Raw genomic sequence first — 21,121 nt, 5'->3', positions numbered from 1 at the left:
ATGATGGTAGATATGTCTTTTACTTCCAGATGTAGGACACCCTTTGCCATTTTTGATCGGGCCACCCTAGTTGTGATACATTTTCTCTGGGAAAAACTTTCTCCTTCATTTTTGAAGGATGGCTTTGCTAGGTACAGTATTCTTGGCTGACAGTGTTTTTTTAGCACTTTGAATATATCATCCCATTCTTTCCTGGCATGGAAGGTTTCTGCCAAGGTATCTGCTACTAGTTCTGATGAGGGTTCCCTTGTATGTGACTTGACGCCTGAGGGTTCCCTTATATGTGACTTGATGCCTTTCTCTTGCTTTTTTTAGAATTCTCTGTCTTTGACTTTTGACAGTTTGACTGTAATGGGCCTTGGAAAACCTTTTTGGATTGAATCTATTTGGGCATCATTGAGCCTTCTGTATCAGGATGTCTATATTGCTTACAAGACTTGGAAAGTTTTCAGTTATTTTGTTAAATAGGTTTTTATGCCTTTGCCCATCTCTTCTCCTAGAATACCCAAAATTTGAATATTTGGTTGCTTTATGATGTCCCATATGTCATCTAAGCTTTTTTCAGTTTTAAAAATTATTATTTTTTACTTTTTCTTCCTGGATTCTTTTAAAAAACCCTGTCCTCAAGTTCAGAAATTCTTTCTTCTGCTTGATCTAGTCTATTGTTGAAGCTCTCAATTGTGTTTTTTATTTCATTCATTGAAATTTGTCAGTTTCAGGACTTCTGTTTGGTTCTTTTTCATGATATCTATCTGCTGAATTTCTCATTCAGATCATGAATTGTTTTTTCTGATTCTTTTGGTTTTTATCCATGTTCTATTGTTTCCCACTGAGCTTCTTTAATATCATTATTTTGAATTCTTTTTCAGGCACTTGATAGATTTCTTGTTTGTTGGAATCTGTTGCTGGAGCATTATTGTATTACTTTGGAGATGTCATGGTTCCATGCTTTTTCGTGTTTCTTTTATCCTTACATTGATATCTGTGTATTTCTTGTTATGGTCATTTTTTCCAATTTTATGGATTTGTTTTCATAAGGAAAACCTTTTTCCTGTAGATGTATTTATAGTGTTGGTTGGGTAGGTTGCTTTGGCTTTGTTATAGGTGGATGCAGTGGTATAATCTCCATATGATTTCTCTGGCTGCAATCAGTGTCAGCAGTGTCTGTGAGTTCCTCAGTGGCTTAGGGCTTGGTTGTTAGTGGAAGCTGTGATGAGGCTTTTCTCATTGTTAGCAGGGCCAACAATGGTGATAGGATGAGGGGTATGCCAGGTAAAGGGGAGATCCATGTGGGAAGGCCCTGAGGGGCAGGGAGAACTTGAGGTGCTTGAAGGACTGGGGCTTCTTGAGCAAGTGGAAGTGGAGTATAACACAAGGTTGTAGAGGTAGGCAAGAGCCTCATTATTGGAGTCTTCTTGGTAATTACCAAGGAGTTTAGATTTTCAGGAGGGCAAAGTGAGACCAAATATCACACCAGGTGCTGAATGGATTAGAGGGTGCTAGAACATACTGGGGAAACCATTAGGAGATTCCTGTAGTGGTCTAGGAAAGAGGGGATTCAGTAATTAAATGAGGACAACTTTAAGAGATTTTTAGGGACTCACCCAGACTAAGTTTGGCCAATGATTGTGTGGAGGGAATACTTAAGATAGTCTAGCTGGCTTTATTTTGATGTCTTCAAGCCATTTTATTTGCCCAATATCTGTTTTTGCTATGACATTTTTTCATAATAATAGCTACCAATACTGAGTGCTTACTTTATATCAGATTATTTATATACGTTATTCCTCATCTTTTTAGCAATCATAAGTTAAGTGTCAGTCCCATTTTAATAAACAAGGAAAAGAGGGCTCAGAGGTTGCCTTAAAGCATAGAACTGGGGCTCACTGTTTATATGTTGACATGGAGTTCCATTCTTCTCATAGAGTACATTTCATCCTATCTTAACTCTCTTGTGTCTCAAACTTGAGCCACCTTCCTTCTCAATCACTGCTATGACTTGAATTATTCATTTCTTTCTCCCAAGGTCAACATCACAGAATTCCAGAGCAAATTATTTTCAGTGAGTTCCTAGCCCATATCATGCTGTATGCACAGAAGAGATGTACCTGTCTACTCTTCCCACCAGTTGTGTTCAGCATATTAGATTTGTCGGAGGCTGGTGATTTGCCAGTATACCATTGCACAGTCACTGAACTCCACCCGCCCCCGACATTTAAACCTTTCAACACATTTGTTATTCTTAACAGTCCTTTCATGTAGGTCTGACAGTTATCTACGAATTGCAAAACATACAGTATCATACTCTGTGCATGTGAGCATATGTTTATGAACGTGTATATAATTAGAATATCTCACGCATGGTGCATGCCCTGGAGCAGAAGCGGCATCCTGCTGGCCTGTCCTCCTCCATGGCCCTCCAGCTTAACCCCTGCCTGGGCATGCTGATGGCCTTGCAGTCGGAGCTCCACAAGCTGTACGACGAGGAGACACAGAGCTGGGTCTCAGGCAGCGCCTGTGGGGGATCTGGGGTGGGGGCAAAAAAAATTTTTTTTTTTTAATTAGAATCTCTCTATAATATGGAGGATGGTGCTGAACACTGTGTATTCACCAAGGCTTAAGGTGACTCTGGTTCAGACCAAAATTTGAGGATCATAGAGGTCATCTACTTTCTGAATCCACATCCTCAGCTTCTTTTATTACCTCTCCTAATGTCTGTGCTTTTCTTGTCAGTTTTACAGATTGCCTCTCCACCTTTGAAAACTGTGTAATTTCTCAGATATTCTTTTCAGTTTAATTCTCCCATTTCTTTTTTAGAAGTTTTAACTTGCCCAGAATAGGAAAATTTATTTGCCTTTGTATTTTCTTTCAGATCTGGAATCAATGTGTGAGACCAAAATATTATCTCTAAAGAAGAGACATTTCAGTCAAGTAATAATTACCCGTGAAGACATGTCTACTTTTATTCAGCCCACATTTCTTATTCCACCTCAAAAAACTATGAGTGAAGAGAAACCATGGGAATGTAAGATATGTGGAAAGACCTTTAATCAAAACTCACAATTTATCCAACATCAGAGAATTCATTTTGGTGAAAAACACTATGAATCTAAGGAGTATGGGAAGTCCTTTAGTCGTGGCTCACTCGTTACTCGACATCAGAGGATTCACACTGGTAAAAAACCCTATGAATGTAAGGAATGTGGCAAGGCTTTTAGTTGTAGTTCATATTTTTCTCAACATCAGAGGATTCACACTGGTGAGAAACCCTATGAATGTAAGGAATGTGGAAAAGCCTTTAAGTATTGCTCAAACCTTAATGATCATCAGAGAATTCACACTGGTGAGAAACCCTATGAATGTAAAGTATGTGGAAAAGCCTTTACTAAAAGTTCACAACTTTTTCTACATCTGAGAATTCATACTGGTGAGAAACCTTATGAATGTAAAGAATGTGGGAAAGCCTTTACTCAACACTCAAGGCTTATTCAGCATCAGAGAATGCATACTGGTGAGAAACCTTATGAATGTAAGCAGTGTGGGAAGGCCTTTAATAGTGCCTCAACACTTACTAACCATCACAGAATTCATGCTGGTGAGAAGCTCTATGAATGTGAAGAATGTAGAAAGGCCTTTATTCAGAGCTCAGAACTTATTCAACATCAGAGAATCCATACAGATGAAAAACCATATGAATGTAATGAATGTGGGAAGGCCTTTAATAAAGGCTCAAATCTTACTCGACATCAGAGAATTCACACTGGTGAGAAACCCTATGACTGTAAGGAATGTGGAAAGGCTTTTGGTAGTCGCTCTGACCTCATTCGCCATGAGGGAATTCATACTGGTTGAATGACAGTAAAGTAAGACCATTTTGTTAACCTTTATAATAATTTTTTTAAAACAGGTAAGGAGAACAAATTAGGATACATATTATCAAAGGTTCTCCTATGTATTCGTTTTTAAACGATACGATAACAAAGTACCAAGTACCAAAACCTTGGTGGCTTAAAACAAGAGAAATTTATTCTCTCATAGTTTAGAGCCTGGAAATCTAAACTCAAGGGTGCTGATCGTTTTGGTTCCTTCTGAGGACTCTGAGGATCTGTTCTATGCCTTTTTCCTAACCTCTGTTAACAGCTGGCAGTCCTTGGCATTCCATGGCTTTTACATACACCATTCCAATCTCTGCCTCCATCTTCACATTGCATTCTCGCTGTGTATCTCTGTGTATGTCTTTTATTTGGACACCAGTCAGGTTAGATTGGGGTTACCTGGTGACCTCATCTTAACTTGATTATATCTGCCAAGACCCTGTTTCCAAGTAAGGTCACATTTACCGGTACCAGGGGTTAGGACTTCAGCATATCTTTTTAGGGGATACAGTTCAACCCATAATACCCTGTTAGAATGATTTTGTCTAATATATTTGTAATTTCCTTTTATACATAAGTTGTTAGTCAAATTTATTTTATTTTATTTTATTTTGAGACAGAGTCTCGCTCTGTTGCCCAGGCTGGAGTGCAGTGGTGTGATCTCAGCTCACTGCAACCTCCAGCTCCTGAGTTCAAGCGATTCTTGTGCCTCAGCCTCTCAAGTAGTTGGGATTACAGGCATGCGCCACCATGCCCGGCTAATTTTTTTTTTTTTTTTTTTTGTATTTTTAGTAGCGACGGGGTTTCACCATGTTGGCCAGGCTGGTCTTGAACTCCTGACTTCAAGTGATCTGCCCGCCTCAGCCTCCCAAAGTGCTGGGATTACAGACGTGAGCCACCGTGATGGCCAAAACAGACTTTATACCAACAAAAATTAAAAAGGACAAAGAAGGTCATTTATAATGATAAAGGATAAATTCAACAAGAAGATAAAACAATCCTAAATATGTATGCACCCAACACTGCAACACCCAGATCCATAACACAGATACTACTAGACCTAAGAAAAGAGATAGACAGCAATACAACAATAGCAGGGGACTTCACCACTCCATTGACAGCACTAGACAGATCACTGGGACAGAAATCAACAAAGAAACTCTGGACTTAAATTGGACTCTACACCAAATGGACCCAACAGACATCTGAAGAACATTCTACCCAACAACCACAGAATATATACTCTTCTCTTCTGTGCATGGAACATTCTCAAAAATAGGTCATATACTGGACCACAAAGCAAGTATCAATAAATTTTAAAAAAACAAAATCATATCTAACATCTTCTCTGACCATAGTGGAATAAAACTAGATATCAATACCAAGAGGAACTCTCAAAACAGATACATGGAATTTAAACAGCTTGCTCCTGAATGATTTTTGGATCAATGATGAAACTAAGGTGGAAATTTAAAATTTTTTGAAATAAATGAAAATAGAGACAAAACACATGAAAACATCTGAGATACAGCAAAAGCAGTGCTAAGAGAGGATTTTATAGCATTAAATGCCTACACCAAAAAGATAGAAAAATCTCAAATGAATAGCCTAACGTCACATCTCAAGGAACTAGGAAAAAACAAAACAAACTCAACCCAAAGCTGGCAGAAGAAAAGCAATAACAAATATCAGAGCAGGCAAAAATGAGACTGAGAACAAAGGAATGCAAAAGATCAATAAAAGAAAAAGTTGGTTCTTTGCAAAGATAAAACTGACAGACCACTAGCTAGATTAACCAAGAAAAAAAGAAGATTCAAATAAATACAATCAGAAATGATAAGGTGATATTATAACTGATAACACAGACATATAAAATATCAGCAGAAACTATATGCACATATTAGAAAACCTAGAGGAAGTGGATAAATTCCTAGAAACACATAACCTTCCAAGATTGAACCAGGGAGAAATAGGAATCCTCAACAGACTACTGAGTATTGAAATTGAATCAGTAATAGAAAAAAATCTTGCAAAAACAAAAAGCCCAGGACCAGACAGATTCACAGCTGAATTCTACTAGACATGCAAGGAAGAACTAGTAACAGCACTATTGAAACTATTCCAAAAATTATAGGAGGGAATCCTCCCTAACTCATTCTACAAAGCCAGTATCATCCTGATACTGAAGCCAGGCAAGGATAAAACACACAAAAAAACTACAAGCCAATATCCCTGATGAAAATAGACACAAAAATCTTCAGCAAAATACTAGCAAACCAAATCAAACAGTACATAAAAAAGATAGTAACAGCACAGTCAAGTGGATTTTATTCCTGGGGTGTAAGGATGGCTCAACATATGCAACTCAATACATGATTCATCACATACACAGAATTAAAAATAAGCCAGGCACTCACACCTGTAATCCCAGCACTTTGCAAGGCCAAGGCGGGCAGATCACATGATGTCAAGAGTTTGAGACCAGTCTGGCTGACATGGCGAAACCCTGTCTCTACTAAAAATAGAAAAATTGGCTGGGCATGGTGGCAGGCACTGTAGTCCCAGCTACTTGGGAGGCTGAGGCAGGAGAATTACTTGAACCTGAGAAGCGGAGGTTGCAGTGAGCTGAGATAGTGCCATTGCACTCCAGCCTGGGCAACAGAGCAAATTGCTTGAATGTGGGAGGTGGAGGTTGCAGTGAGCCGAGATTATGCCATTGCACTCCAGCCGGGGGAGCAACAAAGCCAGACTCCATCTCAAAAAAAAACCAAAAAAAATCCTATTTAGTACAAGGTACATTATTTAGGTAATGAGTCCATTAAAAGCCAACACTTTCCCCACTACACTATATGTGTATGTAACACAACTGCCCTTGTAACTTCCTAAACCTATAATTAAGAAACAATAAAAGGCAAATTAAGAATGCTTTTTTAAAAGGTGGGGGCATTATGCTAATAAGTTACTGTGGATTTCAGAGTGCAGAGTAGAAAGATCACAAGAATTTAGTGTGGTAGGTGGGAACAGAAAATGGGTGTATAAATTTTATTGACGTGGGAGTACTGGATATTGTAGAGACAGATATCATCAGGGCAAGGAGATTAAAGATTTTTGCATTGACGGTTTGACACTATATTGTGGTAATAACACTGTATGTGTTGGGAGATAGAACAGGAAACATCTTCCCTGGAATATGTATACTATTAAATGTTTTATCAAACTTTTGATCAAACAAGACAGCACAATTTATAATTTCATTTCTATTTCTATGTTATGAGAAACTGATCATTTATTCAAATGTTTAACAGGCATGTTCATGTTACTATAAACTCTTCTGTTTCACCATCACGTTGTTGGTCATCTTTACTGATTACAAATTTCTTTACATATTTAAGAAATATATATATTTCTTTATATATTAAGGTTAGTGTTTGTCATATGTTGTTTCAGTAACTTTTCCTAATCTTTTGGCCTCTTTGGTATTTTTTAATAAGCAGAAATCTTTTTCACATGTAGTAAAATTTACAGTTTTTCCTGTACACATAACTATTATTTTTTCTAGATTAATATTTCTGCAGATTTGGAGTCATCCAAGAATTTAAATTGTACCTCAGGCAAAATCATGAGAATGACTTTAGGATCACTGTTACTGGCTCTAGAGTTCAGGAGACCCAATAAGTAGAGTGTGCCATTAGATGGAGTAAAATGTTGAAGAGGACCAAAATGATTCTGAGTCTCGAATCTTGACTTTTAGCCTAGCATGTCAGGAAACAGTGGTCTGGGCTCTACGTGTGTTCCTTTTGTAAAACATGGATCTAATATCATAGATGTAAATGACTCCATGTAATAACATTACTCAAATCATGATAAATCCGGCTCTGTGGATACACAGGAATGACTATTTATAAATAATTTGAATACTCAGCTTCATTCTCTATTGTAAAATATATAATTTGTTTTAGAACAGTTTTTAGATTTACAGAATAATTATAAAAGCAATAGAGAGAATTCCCATATACCCTACACCTAGTTTCCCCTACTACTAAAAACATCTTACATTATATGGTACATTTGTTACAATTAATTAACAAGTATTGGTACATTATTATTAGCTAAAGCTTACACTTTATTCCAAATGTTCTTAGGTTTTTAAGCTTTTCTTCCTTTTTCTGTTCCAGCATTCTAAGCAGGAGAACACATTGCATTTAGTCATCATTTCCCCTTAGGTTACTGTTGGCTGTGACAGTTTCTTCCTTGTTTTTTTTGTTGTTGTTGGTGGTGGTGGTGGTGGTGGTGGTGTTTTTTGAGATGGAGTTTTGCTCGTTGCTCAGGCTGGAGTGCAATGGTGCGGTCTCAGCTCACTGCAATCTCTGCAGTGAATCCCGGGTTCAAGTGGATCTCCTGCCTCAGCCTCCCGAGTAGCTGGGATTACAGGCACCCACCACCACCCCCAGCTAATTTTTTTTTTTTTTTTTTTTGAGACGGAGTCTCACTCTTTCGCCCAAGCTGGACTGCAGTGGCGCTATCCCGGCTCACTGCAAGCTCCGCCTCTTGGGTTCATGCCATTCTCCTGCCTCAGCCTCCCGAGTAGCTGGGATTACAGGCGCCCACCACCACGCCCGGCTAATTTTTTGTATTTTTTTTTTTTAGTAGAGACGGGGTTTCACCGTGTTAGCCAGGATGGTCTCGATCTCCTGACCTCGTGATCCGCCCGCCTCGGCCTCCCAAAGTGCTGGGATTACAGGCGTGAGCCACCGCGCCCGGCCCCCAGCTAATTTTTGTATTTTTAGTAGAGACGGGGCTTCACCATGTTGGCCAGGCTGGTCTCGAACTCCTGACCTCAGGTGATCCACCCTCCTCGGCCTCCCAAAGTGCTGGGATTATAGGCATGAGCCAGCGGGCCTGGCCCTCTTCCTCATTTTAAATGACCTTAACTATTTTGAGGAGGTCAGTATAGCGTAGAATGTTCCTCCGCTAAGATCTGACTGATGTTTTTCTCATGATTAGACTGAGGTTGTTTGCAGGAGGAAGATCACAGAGGTAAAGTGCCATTTTCCTCATAGATATCAAAGATTCATACTATCAGCATGATGACTTTTTGTTGGTCTTGATCACCTGAGTGAGGGAGTGTTTGTCAAGTTTCTCCAGTGTAAATTTAGTCTTTTCTCCCTTTTCCCATACAGTCATCTTTGGAAGTCACTATGCACAGCACGTACTTAAGGAGCGGGGTTATGCTCCACTTTCCTGAAGGCAGAATATCTACATAAATTATTTAGAATTCTGTACTGGAGATTTATCTCTTCTCCATTTATTTAGTTATTTATCTGATAATATAGTCATATCAGTATGAATGCATGGATATTTATTTTATACTTCGGGTTATAATCCAATACCACTTTATTTGTTGCTCAAATTTTCTTGGAGTGATATCATCTAAATCACTGTGGCTATGCTGTTGTGAACGCCCTGAAAGCTACACAAACAGACAAATTAGGTTATTATAAACATCTAAGTAACATAACCATGGTTAGGATCAGGATGGTATCAGGAAAGGTGATGAGAGGCGGGTAGAATTGGAATATAACTGGGGGGAAAGAATTTACTTTTCATTACATAACACTGGATTAACTTGGATATCCGTAGCAGTATTGATAATTAAACTTGACCCACTAAATCTCATACTGTACACCAAACTTCTCTCAGACTTCATTCTATGTGTCTCTTCCTGTGGCTAGTTGAAATATGTATCCTTTCACTATAATAAAGTTGTAATCATAGGCCAGGCACGGTGGCTCACACCTGTAATCCCAGGCAAGATGTGAGTGGTGAAATAAAGCCTCTAGGGGAAGAAAGAGAATACCTTCATAAGTTTGTAGGCATGAAACACACACACACACGCACACAAACATTTAAGACTCAAAGTTCTAACCATATATAGAAAAAGGTTGATAAACAGGAGTTCATTAAAATTAAAAACTCCAATTCATCAACCCATACCTTTAAGAGAGTGGAAATGCAAGCCACAAAGCAAAAGGCATTTGCAACATACATATCTAGCAAACAAATCAGATCCAAAATACACAAAGAATTCACACAAAGCAATAAGGAAAAGACACGATACGCATTTAAAACGGCCAAAGTCTTACCAACCCTGCATACAAGATATCAAAAAAGCTAGTAAGCAAGCATATGAAAAGGTATTCAACATTATTAGTCATTGGAAGTGAAAATGTAACTTTCTACATACTTATATAACTATATAATAGTTATATAATATTTCTATATATAATTCTAGTAACTAATACATTAGTATAGTCCCATTAGAATGACTATACAATACTAAGTGTGAAGAGGACATACAGCAAATGAAACCCTTACAGATTCTTTGTGGGAGTGTAAATTTGCACAATCACTTTGGAAAACTGACATTTACTAAATATAGCCTATCTCTGACTCAGCAATTCCATTCTGAAGTATACTGCCAATAGAAAAGAGTAAATATGTCTACATAAAGACATGTATAAGAAGGTTCCCAGAGTTGTAGAAACAATACAGATACCCATCAACGAAAGAATGAGTAAGTCAAAGTATATTCCTGTATAGTGATAAATTAACTTCACCCAAAGAGAGGTCTTGCCTTTACCTTGGGTACTGGGAGGCCCACTGGGGGTACTCTAGGCCTCTGGAATGTCCTGCCCAATAACAGTGTCTTGGTTTGGCTGGGTGCTTTGGATGGCCACCCGACAGTATAACATGATTTATGATGAGTGCTTTGAGGCATGCTATCTCAGTTTTGACTTCTGGGGAAATGGCAGACAAACAGTATTAGACAAACCAGCAAGAAGGGCAGAAAGACAAAGGTCAGCTATGTGGGCAGTATATTATCAAACCCCAAGAAAAACACTGGAAACCAAAGGCTAAGGTGAGCTTCCCTGGATTGCAACACTTATCAGTACACATTGTAGCTGGAAGGAGGTAATGCCATCCAGGACTCCATAGGGATAGGATGACCAGAAGACTCATCTTTGGACCCCTCTCAGACTTCATTCTATGTGTCTCTTCCTCTGGCTAGTTGTAATTTGTATCCTTTCACTATAATAAGGTTGTAATCATAGGCCAGGTGCGGTGGCTCATGCCTGTAATCCCAGCACTTTGGGAGGCTGAGGTGGGCAGATCACTTGTGGTCAGGAGTTCAAGACCAACATGGTGAAACCTCGTCTCTACTAAAAGTACAAAAATTTAGCTGGGCATGGTGGTGGGTGCCTGTAATCCCAGCTACTCACGAGGCTGAGGCAGGAGAATCGCTTGAACCCAGGAGGCGGAGGTTGCAGTGAGCCGAGATCGTGCCACTGCACTCCAGCCGGGGCAACAGGAGCAAGACTCTGTCTCAAAAAAAATAAAAATAAATAAGTTGTAATCATAGGTATAGTATTATCTTGAGTTCTGTGAATTATTATACTGAATTATCAAGGGTAGTCATGACAAGTCCCAAATTTGTAGTCAGCTGGTCTGAAGTATGGGTAGCCCTTGGAACCTCTGAACTTGTGCCTGGTGTCTGAAATGAGGGCAGTCTTGTGGAAACTATTCCTTCAGACTTCAGTTTCTCTAACTCAGTGCAATTCCCATAAAACACTACATAAATAAAAATGAATATTATGTCTGAGAGAGCCATCCTTATTGTTGCATGAAATAATGTTGAGCAAAAGAAACCAGACACAAAAAGGGTTCAGCGTACGATTCCATTTACATGAAGTGGAAAAACATGTAAGCTTATCTCTGGTTATGGAAATTAGGAGAGGGGCTATTTCTGGGCAATGGAATATTAATAGCAAAGCAGCACAAAGAAGCCTCCTTAGGCTGTAAATGTATATCAGTCTGGGCAGTGCTTACATAGGTGTACAATATTACTTCATCAAGTTTAACACTTAGAATTTATGCTATTGCCACCAGTATTTTATATACCTAAATAAAAATAATTCAAGTAGTGTAGAGAAGGCTACTGAACGTAGTGAGTGTGGAGTTCAAGGGAAACAAACCCACGGGGGTGAAATCACCAAGGAACAATTAAGTATAATTAGTAAATGTGTCAGAGGCTGAGTCTTAGAAAACTTCAATCTTTAGGGAACAGAGAGATGAAGAGAAACGATGCATTAAATGACCATGACGAGTAGCTACATAGGAAAGAGCAACAGAGTTTGAGAATTTTAGTTACTTTTCTGCTCTTTAATAGAAAAAGATATTTTAAAAGGTGATTTCATAGAAATTGAGTAAGCCTGCCTATAGATATATGGTGTTCTCCAATTAAAATACAAAAACAAATTGGGTTAAAAATAAAACACTAACTATATGGTGTTTATAAGGATATATACCTAGAACAAGCTGACACAACAGACCTAGTGCAGCTCTACTGGCCAAAGCAGAATTTTCAATATTAGAGAAATTGGAATTCAACATCACAGTGAAAAATACAGCAACCAAACATAAAAAGTAAAACCCCTATATTAACAGAAGACCTTGAAACAATATAGCTGGGCGTTTTGTGCCCACTTTTCAGAATTAAACAAAATAATCAGAGGATATTTAAATAATATAATCACGAAGCTTAATATAATTAAGTAGAACTTTGTGTTTTATAGAGAATATATATTATTTCACATCATATATCTATAAAATGTATTAAAAACCTAACGTATATTTGGCCACAAATAATAAATTAATGTTTTAACTTTTTAATGAAGTTTCACAGATCACACACATTATAAGTTCATATGCTAAATTTTTTTCACAGGTTTTTGAAAATTTAGAAACACACACAAACATACAGACACCTAGGTAACTAGTGAATCAAAGAGAAATCAAGATTAAAATAATAATTATCTAGAAGTTAATTTTTAAAAAACTATGGGGCCAGGTGCAGTGGCTCACGCCTGTAATCCCAGCACTTTGGGAGGCCGAGGCGGGCGGATCACGAGGTCAAGAGATCGAGACCATCCTGGCCAACATGGTAAAACCCCGTCTCTACTAAAAAATACAAAAATTAGCCAGGCGTGGTGGCGCATGCCTGTAGTCCCAGCTACTCAGGAGGCTGAGGCAGGAGAATCACTTGAACCTGGGAGGCGGAGGTTGCAGTGAGCCGAGATCACGCCACTGCACTCCAGCCTGGTGACAGAGCGAGACTCCATCTCAAGAAGAAAAAAAAACCATGGGCCCCAGATACAGCAATATTCAAAGGAAATCTTGTAGCCTTAAATGCTTCCAATTTAAAAGAGACTGAAAATATATTAACCAAGCACATGTACTCAACAGAAATACACACAAATAAAAAGAAAATAGTGAAATATATTTTTGAAATAGAAAAAGCAAACAAAAATAGTCAAAAGCATGAAGAAAACCCAGATAAGGTTTTTTTTAAAAAAAAAACAAGTAAAATGAATGGGACTCCTTCAAATCAATTTAGAGGAATAAAGTGGTTTAAAAATAAAACTATGAGTAGAAATACAAATATATATACAGAGACTGAAAACTGAAAGCCAATTCTGTTTGCCAATATCAACGAATTTGAAAATCTAAAGAAAAGGAACCATTAAAATCATTGATGAAGTAGTTTATCAGTTCTAAAATGCACTTTTTACCCCGCATTTTAATGTCTCTGAAAGTGGGTTTCAATATATATCTCCAACAGATTAATCTGCAGGACTTTAAAAATTAGTTTCATATTTAAAGTGATGTATTTTATATGTAGCATCTTAAGATTTCATGTTACTTTAGTCTGTTTTTAATGATTCCTATTCCATTCTTTTTAAAAATTAAAAAATCTAATTACCTCAAATTAAAAAGACATAAAATATACTAATGCTGATATATTTTCATCTTTTGCTCTTTCCAATGCAAAATGTGATTGAATGCCAGAATATTCACTCAAGGGACCTGACTGGGGGGTATAAAAGAGACTTTGGCTACAGGGTTTTTTTCCCCAGCCTTCCTAGATATAGTTTTTGCTTTATATCCCTTATATAATACCCATTTCTATGCCACTTTGAGTCAGTTCTGGTGATTAAAATCCTTTTACTAAAATGTTCAATTTTCAAAATAATTATTAAAAGGTTACATGTAATCGTAATAAACATAAGCTGAGTATCCCTCAAAATGCTTGGGACCAGAAGTGTTTTGGATTTTGGAATATTTGCATTATATTTACCAGGTGAGCATACTTAATCCAGAAGTCTGAAATTATCTTTGAGCATAATGTTGAGCTCAAAAAGTTTTGGAATTTGGAGCATTTCAGATATTGAATTTTCAAATTAAGCATGCTCAACCTGTAATCTGTAAAGTCTCTAGAGTAATGTCGCTTTTGCATTCATGTTCATATACCTTTATTTATGAGAACTGCTACTATTTTTGTTTTCAAAACATTAGGTTGTGATTGATCTAGCTTTTTTTATTCTAAAATTATTTTTCCCTCCCATTATCCTTAGGGTTTTTGTTGTAGTTATTCTTTCTCCAGCTTCTTGGGTTATATGCTTGGTTTCTTTATTTATAATTTCTTTAACATTCTAACAAATGAATGAATTTAGAGCTATAAAATTTCCTCTGTATATTACAGGTCCTCACAGGTTTTGCTATGTAATCTATTCAGTGCCACTTATTTAAAAAATAATGTATTTGATTTTAGTTAATTTACTCATTTATTTTTAGAGACAGGATCTTATTCTGTTTTCCAGGCTGGAGTGCAGTGGCACAATAATAGTGCACTGAGGCCTTGAATTCCTGGGCTCAACTGATCCTCCCACCTCAGCCTCTGGTAGCTGGAGGCCACCATGCCTGGCTCATTTTTAAAACTTTTATTGTAGAGATGGGGGCTTGCTATGTTACCCAGGCTGGTCTCAAACTCCAGGCTTCCAGCAATCCTCCTGCCTCAGCCTCCCAAAGTGCTGAGATTTCAGGCAAGAGTTACTGTGCCTGCCTGCATTTTATTTTTAAGCAAAGAATCATGCAGATGAGTACTGAATTAATATTTGGATTTCAATGGAGAAAACTGCTAGTTTTTTTACTTCTACCCTGGTACAAATTTTATAGTGTATTTGTCTTCTCACACTTTATAATCTTATTATTTTTTCTGTAGGACAATTTTTTATTTATTTATTTTTATTTTGTTCTGAGACAGAGCCTTGCTCTGTCACCCAGGTTGGAGTTCAGTGGTGCAATCTTGGTTCACTGCAACCTCCACAGGTTCAAGCAATCCTTATGCCTCAGACTCCCGAGTAGCTGGAACTACAGGCACACGCCACCATGCCTGGCTAATTTTTGTATTTTTAATAGAGATGGGGTTTCACCATGTTGGCTAGGCTCCTGGCCTCAAGTGATCCACCCACCTTGGCCTCCCAAAGTGCTGAAATTACAGGTGTGAGCCACTGTGCCTGGCAGCAAATATTCTTATTCAACAAGGAAAGAATGTCAATCAAATTTTCCCTACATTCATTTAAATGAATGTCTTTCTCCATTATGAGGTCTTTGTTGTTGAGTAAGGTATGGATCATGGCTAAAAGTTTTTCTAGAAATAATAAAGATGAAGCTTGAGAAGATAATAGTGATGGGTAACATTCACTAAGCATTTATTATGTGATAGGCACAATTATAGAATCCACACAATAAGGCTCTGAGGTATTGATTCTACCCACATTACCATAGGTATGTTACAGATGCATATAAAAGGATCTGGAAGAATAAGTAAATTGGTTAACATTGGAAAGGAACTGAGGCCAGGAATGCTGCTCAAAGGAAAGGCCGGCTTTATCTGTAATGTAAAAATCTTTTATATGCAAAAGCAATTGATACATTATCTCTGAAATGAACAATAAATAAATAAATCAGACACACTGAAAAGGGGCCATCAAGGTAAGTGTTTATAATGGCAAAATTTTTAATATTTGACAAAATTGGGGTTTGATAAAGACAGGTGAATACTATAAAGCCAATAAAATGGTAACAACATATTTACAGACAAAAAATATTAAGGGCTGGTTATAGTATAGCATAATCACACCTTGTTTCCAAAACAATGAGAGATAGTATTAAAGGATTTGCTCCAAAAGTTTGACAGTGATTATCTATGATTGGTAAGATTACAGGTAACCATATCCTTTTTTTCTTTTTATCTACATTATGATGAGGGAAAGCTGTTTTGCTAAAATGGAGAGTATAATTTTATAAAAGGAAAGTAAACAATCTTCTAAAACAAAAGGTACAGGTATTAAAGGATACTTAAAAGTAACAGTTATTGACCATAAACAGGATGAGACATAGATACATATATATAAATTTAAAAAACAAACACTGGGCCAGGCATGGTGGCTCATGCCTGTAATTCCAGCACGTTGGGAGGCCGAGGCAGATGGATCACGAGGTCAAGAGATCGAGACCATCCTGGCCAACGTGGTGAAACCCCATCTCTAATGAAAATACAAAAAATTAGCTGGGCGTGGTGGCGGGCGCCTGTAGTCCCAGCTACTGGGGAGCTGAGGCAGGAAAATCACTTGAACTCGGGAGGTGGAGGTTGCAGTGAACCGAGATTGCACCACTGCACTCCAGCCTGGTGACAGTGAGACTCCATCTCAAAAAAACAAAAACAAAAACAAAAACAAAAAAACACTGACCTGATATCCAAGCTTTATGTGAATAAAAATGTAACTTACCATCAAATAGTCAATAAAAAAAATATGAAAATGGACAAGGTTATTGAATAAATGGTGTTAGGATAATCAGGAAAGAAAAAAAGGATAAATTTAGACTTGCAATAAATAAAATAATTTTTCAATGAATCAGTAATTCTGTATAATACAAAAAAAAAAGACCATTGAAAAAATATAGTAGGATTAACCCAGAAATGAGTTTTCCAATGTTTAAAGTTGAGGCAAAATATAATAAATGATTTTTTTTTCATTTTTAACATTCACAAGTAAGAATTTTCCAAAAGTAATGAAGGAATGAATATAGATAAGGATCTTCAAATATTTATTTTATTTGGGGTGATTTTTTTCCTGTATAAATATTCTTAGACTGACTAACCTGTGAAGCATAAGTAAGGCATTTGTACCTTAGTTCTATTTGTAGAGATTTTCACCACTATGAATTTTCTTAAGTCATATGTTTAGAGTCCTTCCTTCAGCACATAATTTCAATTTATAGTTTCCAATTCGCAGAGTTTCTTACCATTATGACTTTTCTTATGTTGCTGAAACTCTGAATCCCTCCCATAAGCCTTCCCACAGTTCTTACATTCATAAAGTTTCTCACCTGTATGAATTCTCTGATGCTGAGTAAGGCTTGAGCCACTATAAAAAGCCTTCCCACACTCCTTACATTCATAGGGTTTCTCACCAGTGTGTATTCTCTGGTGCCGATTAAGAGCTGAACCACTACTAAAGGACTTTCCACATTCTTTACATTCATAGGGTCTTTCACCAGTATGGATTAGCTGGTGTTGGATAAGTTTTGAGCCACTACCAAAGGCCTTCCCACATTCCTTACATTCATAGGGTTTCTCACCAGTATGAATTCTGTGATGTTGAGTAAGGTCTGAACCACTACTAAAGGTCTTCCCACATTCCTTACATTCATAAGGTTTCTCTCCAGTATGCATTCTTTGATGCTGAATAAGTTTTGAACCACTTCTAAAGGCTTTCTCACACTCCTTACACTCATAGGGTTTCTCACCAGTGTGAATTCTCTGATGCTGAGTGAGATCTGAGCCACTATTAAAAGCCTTCCCACATTCCTTACATACATAAGGTTTCTCACCAGTATGAATTCTTTGATGTCGAGTAAGGGCTGATCCAAAACTAAAGGCCTTACCACATTCATTACATATATATGGTTTCTCACCGGTATGAATTCTCTGATGCCGAGTAAGAGCCGAACCACTGCTAAAGGCCATTCCACATGCTTTGCATTCATAAGGTTTCTCACCAGTATGAATCCGCCGATGTTGAGTAAGGTTTGAACCACTGCCAAAGGCTTTACCACAATCTATACATTCATAAGGTTTCTCACCTGTGTGAATTCTGTGATGCCGAATAAGGGCTGATTCAAAACTAAAGGACTTCCCACATTCCTTACACTCATAAGGCTTCTCACCACTGTGAATGATCTGATGTCGAATAAGGCCTGATCCAAAACTAAAGGCTTTCCCACATTCCTTACACTCATAGGGTTTCTCACCAGTATGAATTCTCTGATGGTGAGTAAGGTTTGAGCCACTACCAAAGGCCTTCCCACATTCTTTACATTCAAAAGGCTTCTCACCAGTATGAATTCTTTGATGGTAAGCAAGGTTTGCACCACTACCAAAGGCCTTGCCACATTCTTTGCATTCATAAGGTTTCTCACCAGTATGAATTCGCTGATGTCGAACAAGGACTGATACAAAACTAAAATCCTTCCCACATTCCTTACATTCAAGGAGTTTCTCATCAGTATGAATTCTCTGATGCTGGATACTGAAAGTGGGCATGTCTTCAGGAGTAAATATCATTTCACTGAAATGTCCTTCCTGAGATCCCTGTTTTCTCTCAAACTGGTTTTTACATTCCCAATCACCTCTGAAACTTGAACACTCAATGCTGTGTTTTGTAAGGTTTTCCATATCCTTTTTCAGAAATAATTTCTTGGTCTCAACTTTGATTCATAGTCTGAAAGAAAATATAAAAGCAAACATTCACTTTTTTGTGTTCTGGGAGAGATTAAACGTTTATAATAGATACGAAAGACTTAACTACAATTTAATTTTCATAAAAATTGAGTGGTTTATACAGTTCTCACATATGACTGGGCAATTTGAAAAACAGATTAGGGAAGCAGAGAAAATGAGTAAAAGTCAGACTAGAAAGTGGAGGAGGTTTTCAGGAAACAGATTATTTTTAAATAGTAGTTTAGATATTTATTTAAAATAGTAGTTTTAAATAGTAGTTTAGTTTAGTTTAAAAGTCCTGCAGACTTTGAAAGCTTGGTAATTATACAGATGTCCTGGCCCTGTCTTAATTTTTTAAGAGATGAATCTAGTGCTATAAACATTTATAAATGAGAGTAATTCTCATATTCATTTATCAGGGTTGTTGGGAGTACTACATTTTTCCTGGGGTGGGAAATCTGGGATGTTTCAGTAATAAACATAATTTGCATATAAACTGATGGAGACAGAAAAGAAAGATAATCCACAAAGAGCAGTTTCCCAATGAAAGACTAATGTGCTAAATGAGTATGGAATGAGCTATGGAGAGGGAAGATTCATCTGTGGTTAGAATGTGGTTTGTTTATGCCATTTAAGAAATAAGTTTGCCTCCAAATTCTATGATGATAACATTGAGAGAAGATGGAGCTCAGTAAGGGCTACAGCAGAGGAACAGAATCTGGTTTTAACATAAGAGGAAAGGGAAGACAAGACAGGAGGCAATGTGATACTACTAGAAGACTGCAAGAAAGATGAAGATATATAAATATCCTGAACCTCATCTTTGATGATTATGGAATGATTCTGATCACACCAAATCTACTTACATACTTGCATAAAGTAACTATGCAGTGCTTATTATTTTGGGAGACTTATTTGCCTCAAAAGTAGAGGCTAGGAAAGGGAATGGATTTAAAGATACTATCTAAGGCCCTGAGTGAATACCTCAAATCCCAAAAAGTGAAAACATTCGGCACCAATCTCTTTCTACAACTTACATAACAATCCTGTTTAGAGCAGGTCTAAATATGTCTTGAAATTGTTCTTTCAGTCTCCAACTGGCTAATCCAAATCAAAATTATCTTTTGCTTGGACACTAAACCAGCATTTCTTCTACCTGCCTGCATTTCCAGTTTTGCACCCTTAGCACCCAGAGTGATATTTAGCCTGGAACTGTTCTGCTCAAAATGAACTCGCTCTTAAAAGTTCCTCAGTGATCTGCCTGTCTCTTCAACCTAATATCCCTCCCTGCACCCCCCACCCAACAATAAGCTGTAGCTACTATGTAGTCTTCATAGTTCTTCAAATGCACAAAACTGTACCGACCCATCCCCATCATGGTTTCATCTGCCTGAAATGTCCCCCTATATCCACTGCCCCTACTCTTGGCCTTGCAAGTTTCTGGCAGTGGTTTAGGTCTCTGCTAAATGATGTATCTTTAAAATATTTCCTACATGTTCAGTCTGAATTATGCACACTCTACTATCATTTCTCAGAGCTCTTTTTTCCTCTTTTCTTTGTGTTTTGTTTTGATAATAGGTAATTTACGTATCCATTCCCTACAGTTAAATTTTTCATATTTGTTTGAATGCTTGTTTAACCTCTGTCTGCTACAATAGAGCCAAGCTTCATGAAGACAAAGATAATATCTATTAATTTAATCAACTTGAACTCTGGTACATGCAAAAAAAACCTAAATGCATTTATTGAATAATATAATAAATTATTTGCAAAATGTATTATCCTTACAAATAAACATCTAAAAACTAGATTTCTCTAGCCATACAACATAATTTCTCTGAAAAAGCTCAAGTGGATCACGTGCATTTATCCCCGTACGCTTTCCAAAACCTCACTAAAAGGAATGAAAAGGAATTTGTAAAACAGAACAAAACCACCACATAAAAGGAAATTAAAGAGGAAGCTGCAGCAACAAAACATTTTCAGCTTATTTATTTATTTATTTTGAGATGGAGTTTCGCTCTTGTTGCCTAAGCTGGAGTGCAATGGCATGATCTCAGATCGCTGCAACCTCCGCCTCCCGGGTTCAAGTGATTCTCCTGCCTCAGCCTCCTCAGTACCTGGGATTACAGGCATGTGCCACCACGCCTGGCTAATTTTGTATTTTTAGTAATACAGGGTTTCTCTATGTTGGTCAGGCTGGTCTTGAACTCCCGACCTCAGCCTCCCAAAGTGCTAGGATTACAGGCATGAGTCACCAGGCCTGGCACCCCACCCCCCTTTTTTTTTTTTTAGTGGAGTTTCACTCGTGTCACCCAGACTGGAGTGCAATGGCACAATCTCAGCTCACTGCAACCTCTGCCTCCCAGGTTCAAGTGGTCCTCCTGCCTCAGCCTCCCAAACAGCTGGGATTGCAGGTGCCCACCACCACACCTGGCTGATTTTTGTATTTTCAGTAGAGGTGGGGTTTCACCATATTGGCCAGGCTGGTCTCGAACTCTTGACCTCAAGTGATCCACCTGCCTTGGCCTCCCAAAGTGCTGGGATAACAGGCATGAGCCAC

At 37.7% G+C, this 21,121-nt stretch overlaps 2 protein-coding genes across 18 annotated transcripts in view, besides 2 other annotated features; one reads left to right on the top strand and one right to left on the bottom strand.

Annotated features, from left to right (window-relative positions):
- Positions 1-7,220, top strand: part of ZNF829 (zinc finger protein 829) — a 28,168-nt gene extending 20,948 nt beyond the window's left edge. For all 4 annotated transcript variants that reach the window (XM_011526933.3, NM_001037232.4, XM_005258876.4 and 1 more), the window contains exon 6: positions 2,873-7,220. In XM_011526933.3, coding sequence (XP_011525235.1) covers positions 2,873-3,852 — 980 coding nt within the window. In that variant the 3' untranslated portion in view covers positions 3,853-7,220. The remainder of the gene's footprint in view (positions 1-2,872) is intronic.
- ZNF345 (zinc finger protein 345) overlaps positions 2,126-21,121 on the bottom strand; it is a 42,854-nt gene continuing 23,858 nt past the window's right edge. For 13 of the 14 annotated variants that reach the window (XM_047438566.1, XM_017026568.2, XM_017026573.2 and 10 more), the window contains one exon: positions 15,769-18,559. In XM_047438566.1, coding sequence (XP_047294522.1) covers positions 17,047-18,513 — 1,467 coding nt within the window. In that variant the 5' untranslated portion in view covers positions 18,514-18,559 and the 3' untranslated portion in view covers positions 15,769-17,046. Of the gene's footprint in view, positions 2,527-15,768; positions 18,560-21,121 lie in introns of those variants that run through there. The other variant, NR_038362.2, reaches the window with a different exon arrangement.
- Positions 2,718-3,917: an enhancer, noted in NCBI's record as "P300/CBP strongly-dependent group 1 enhancer chr19:37382329-37383528 (GRCh37/hg19 assembly coordinates)". NCBI's record gives its function as "activates an origin of replication core promoter dependent on BRD2, BRD4, P300/CBP, MED14 and CDK7 cofactors, with strong dependence on P300/CBP, by STARR-seq in HCT116 cells {active_cell/tissue: HCT116}" and the evidence as "EXISTENCE:reporter gene assay evidence [ECO:0000049][PMID:35650434]".
- Positions 16,713-17,912: an enhancer, noted in NCBI's record as "P300/CBP strongly-dependent group 1 enhancer chr19:37368334-37369533 (GRCh37/hg19 assembly coordinates)". NCBI's record gives its function as "activates an origin of replication core promoter dependent on BRD2, BRD4, P300/CBP, MED14 and CDK7 cofactors, with strong dependence on P300/CBP, by STARR-seq in HCT116 cells {active_cell/tissue: HCT116}" and the evidence as "EXISTENCE:reporter gene assay evidence [ECO:0000049][PMID:35650434]".

The sequence above is a fragment of the Homo sapiens genome, chromosome 19, assembly GCF_000001405.40.
Source record: "Homo sapiens chromosome 19, GRCh38.p14 Primary Assembly".
NCBI lineage: Eukaryota > Metazoa > Chordata > Mammalia > Primates > Hominidae > Homo > Homo sapiens.
Note: the sequence above shows the minus strand (reverse complement) of the source record. Positions and strands in the feature narration are given on the sequence as shown.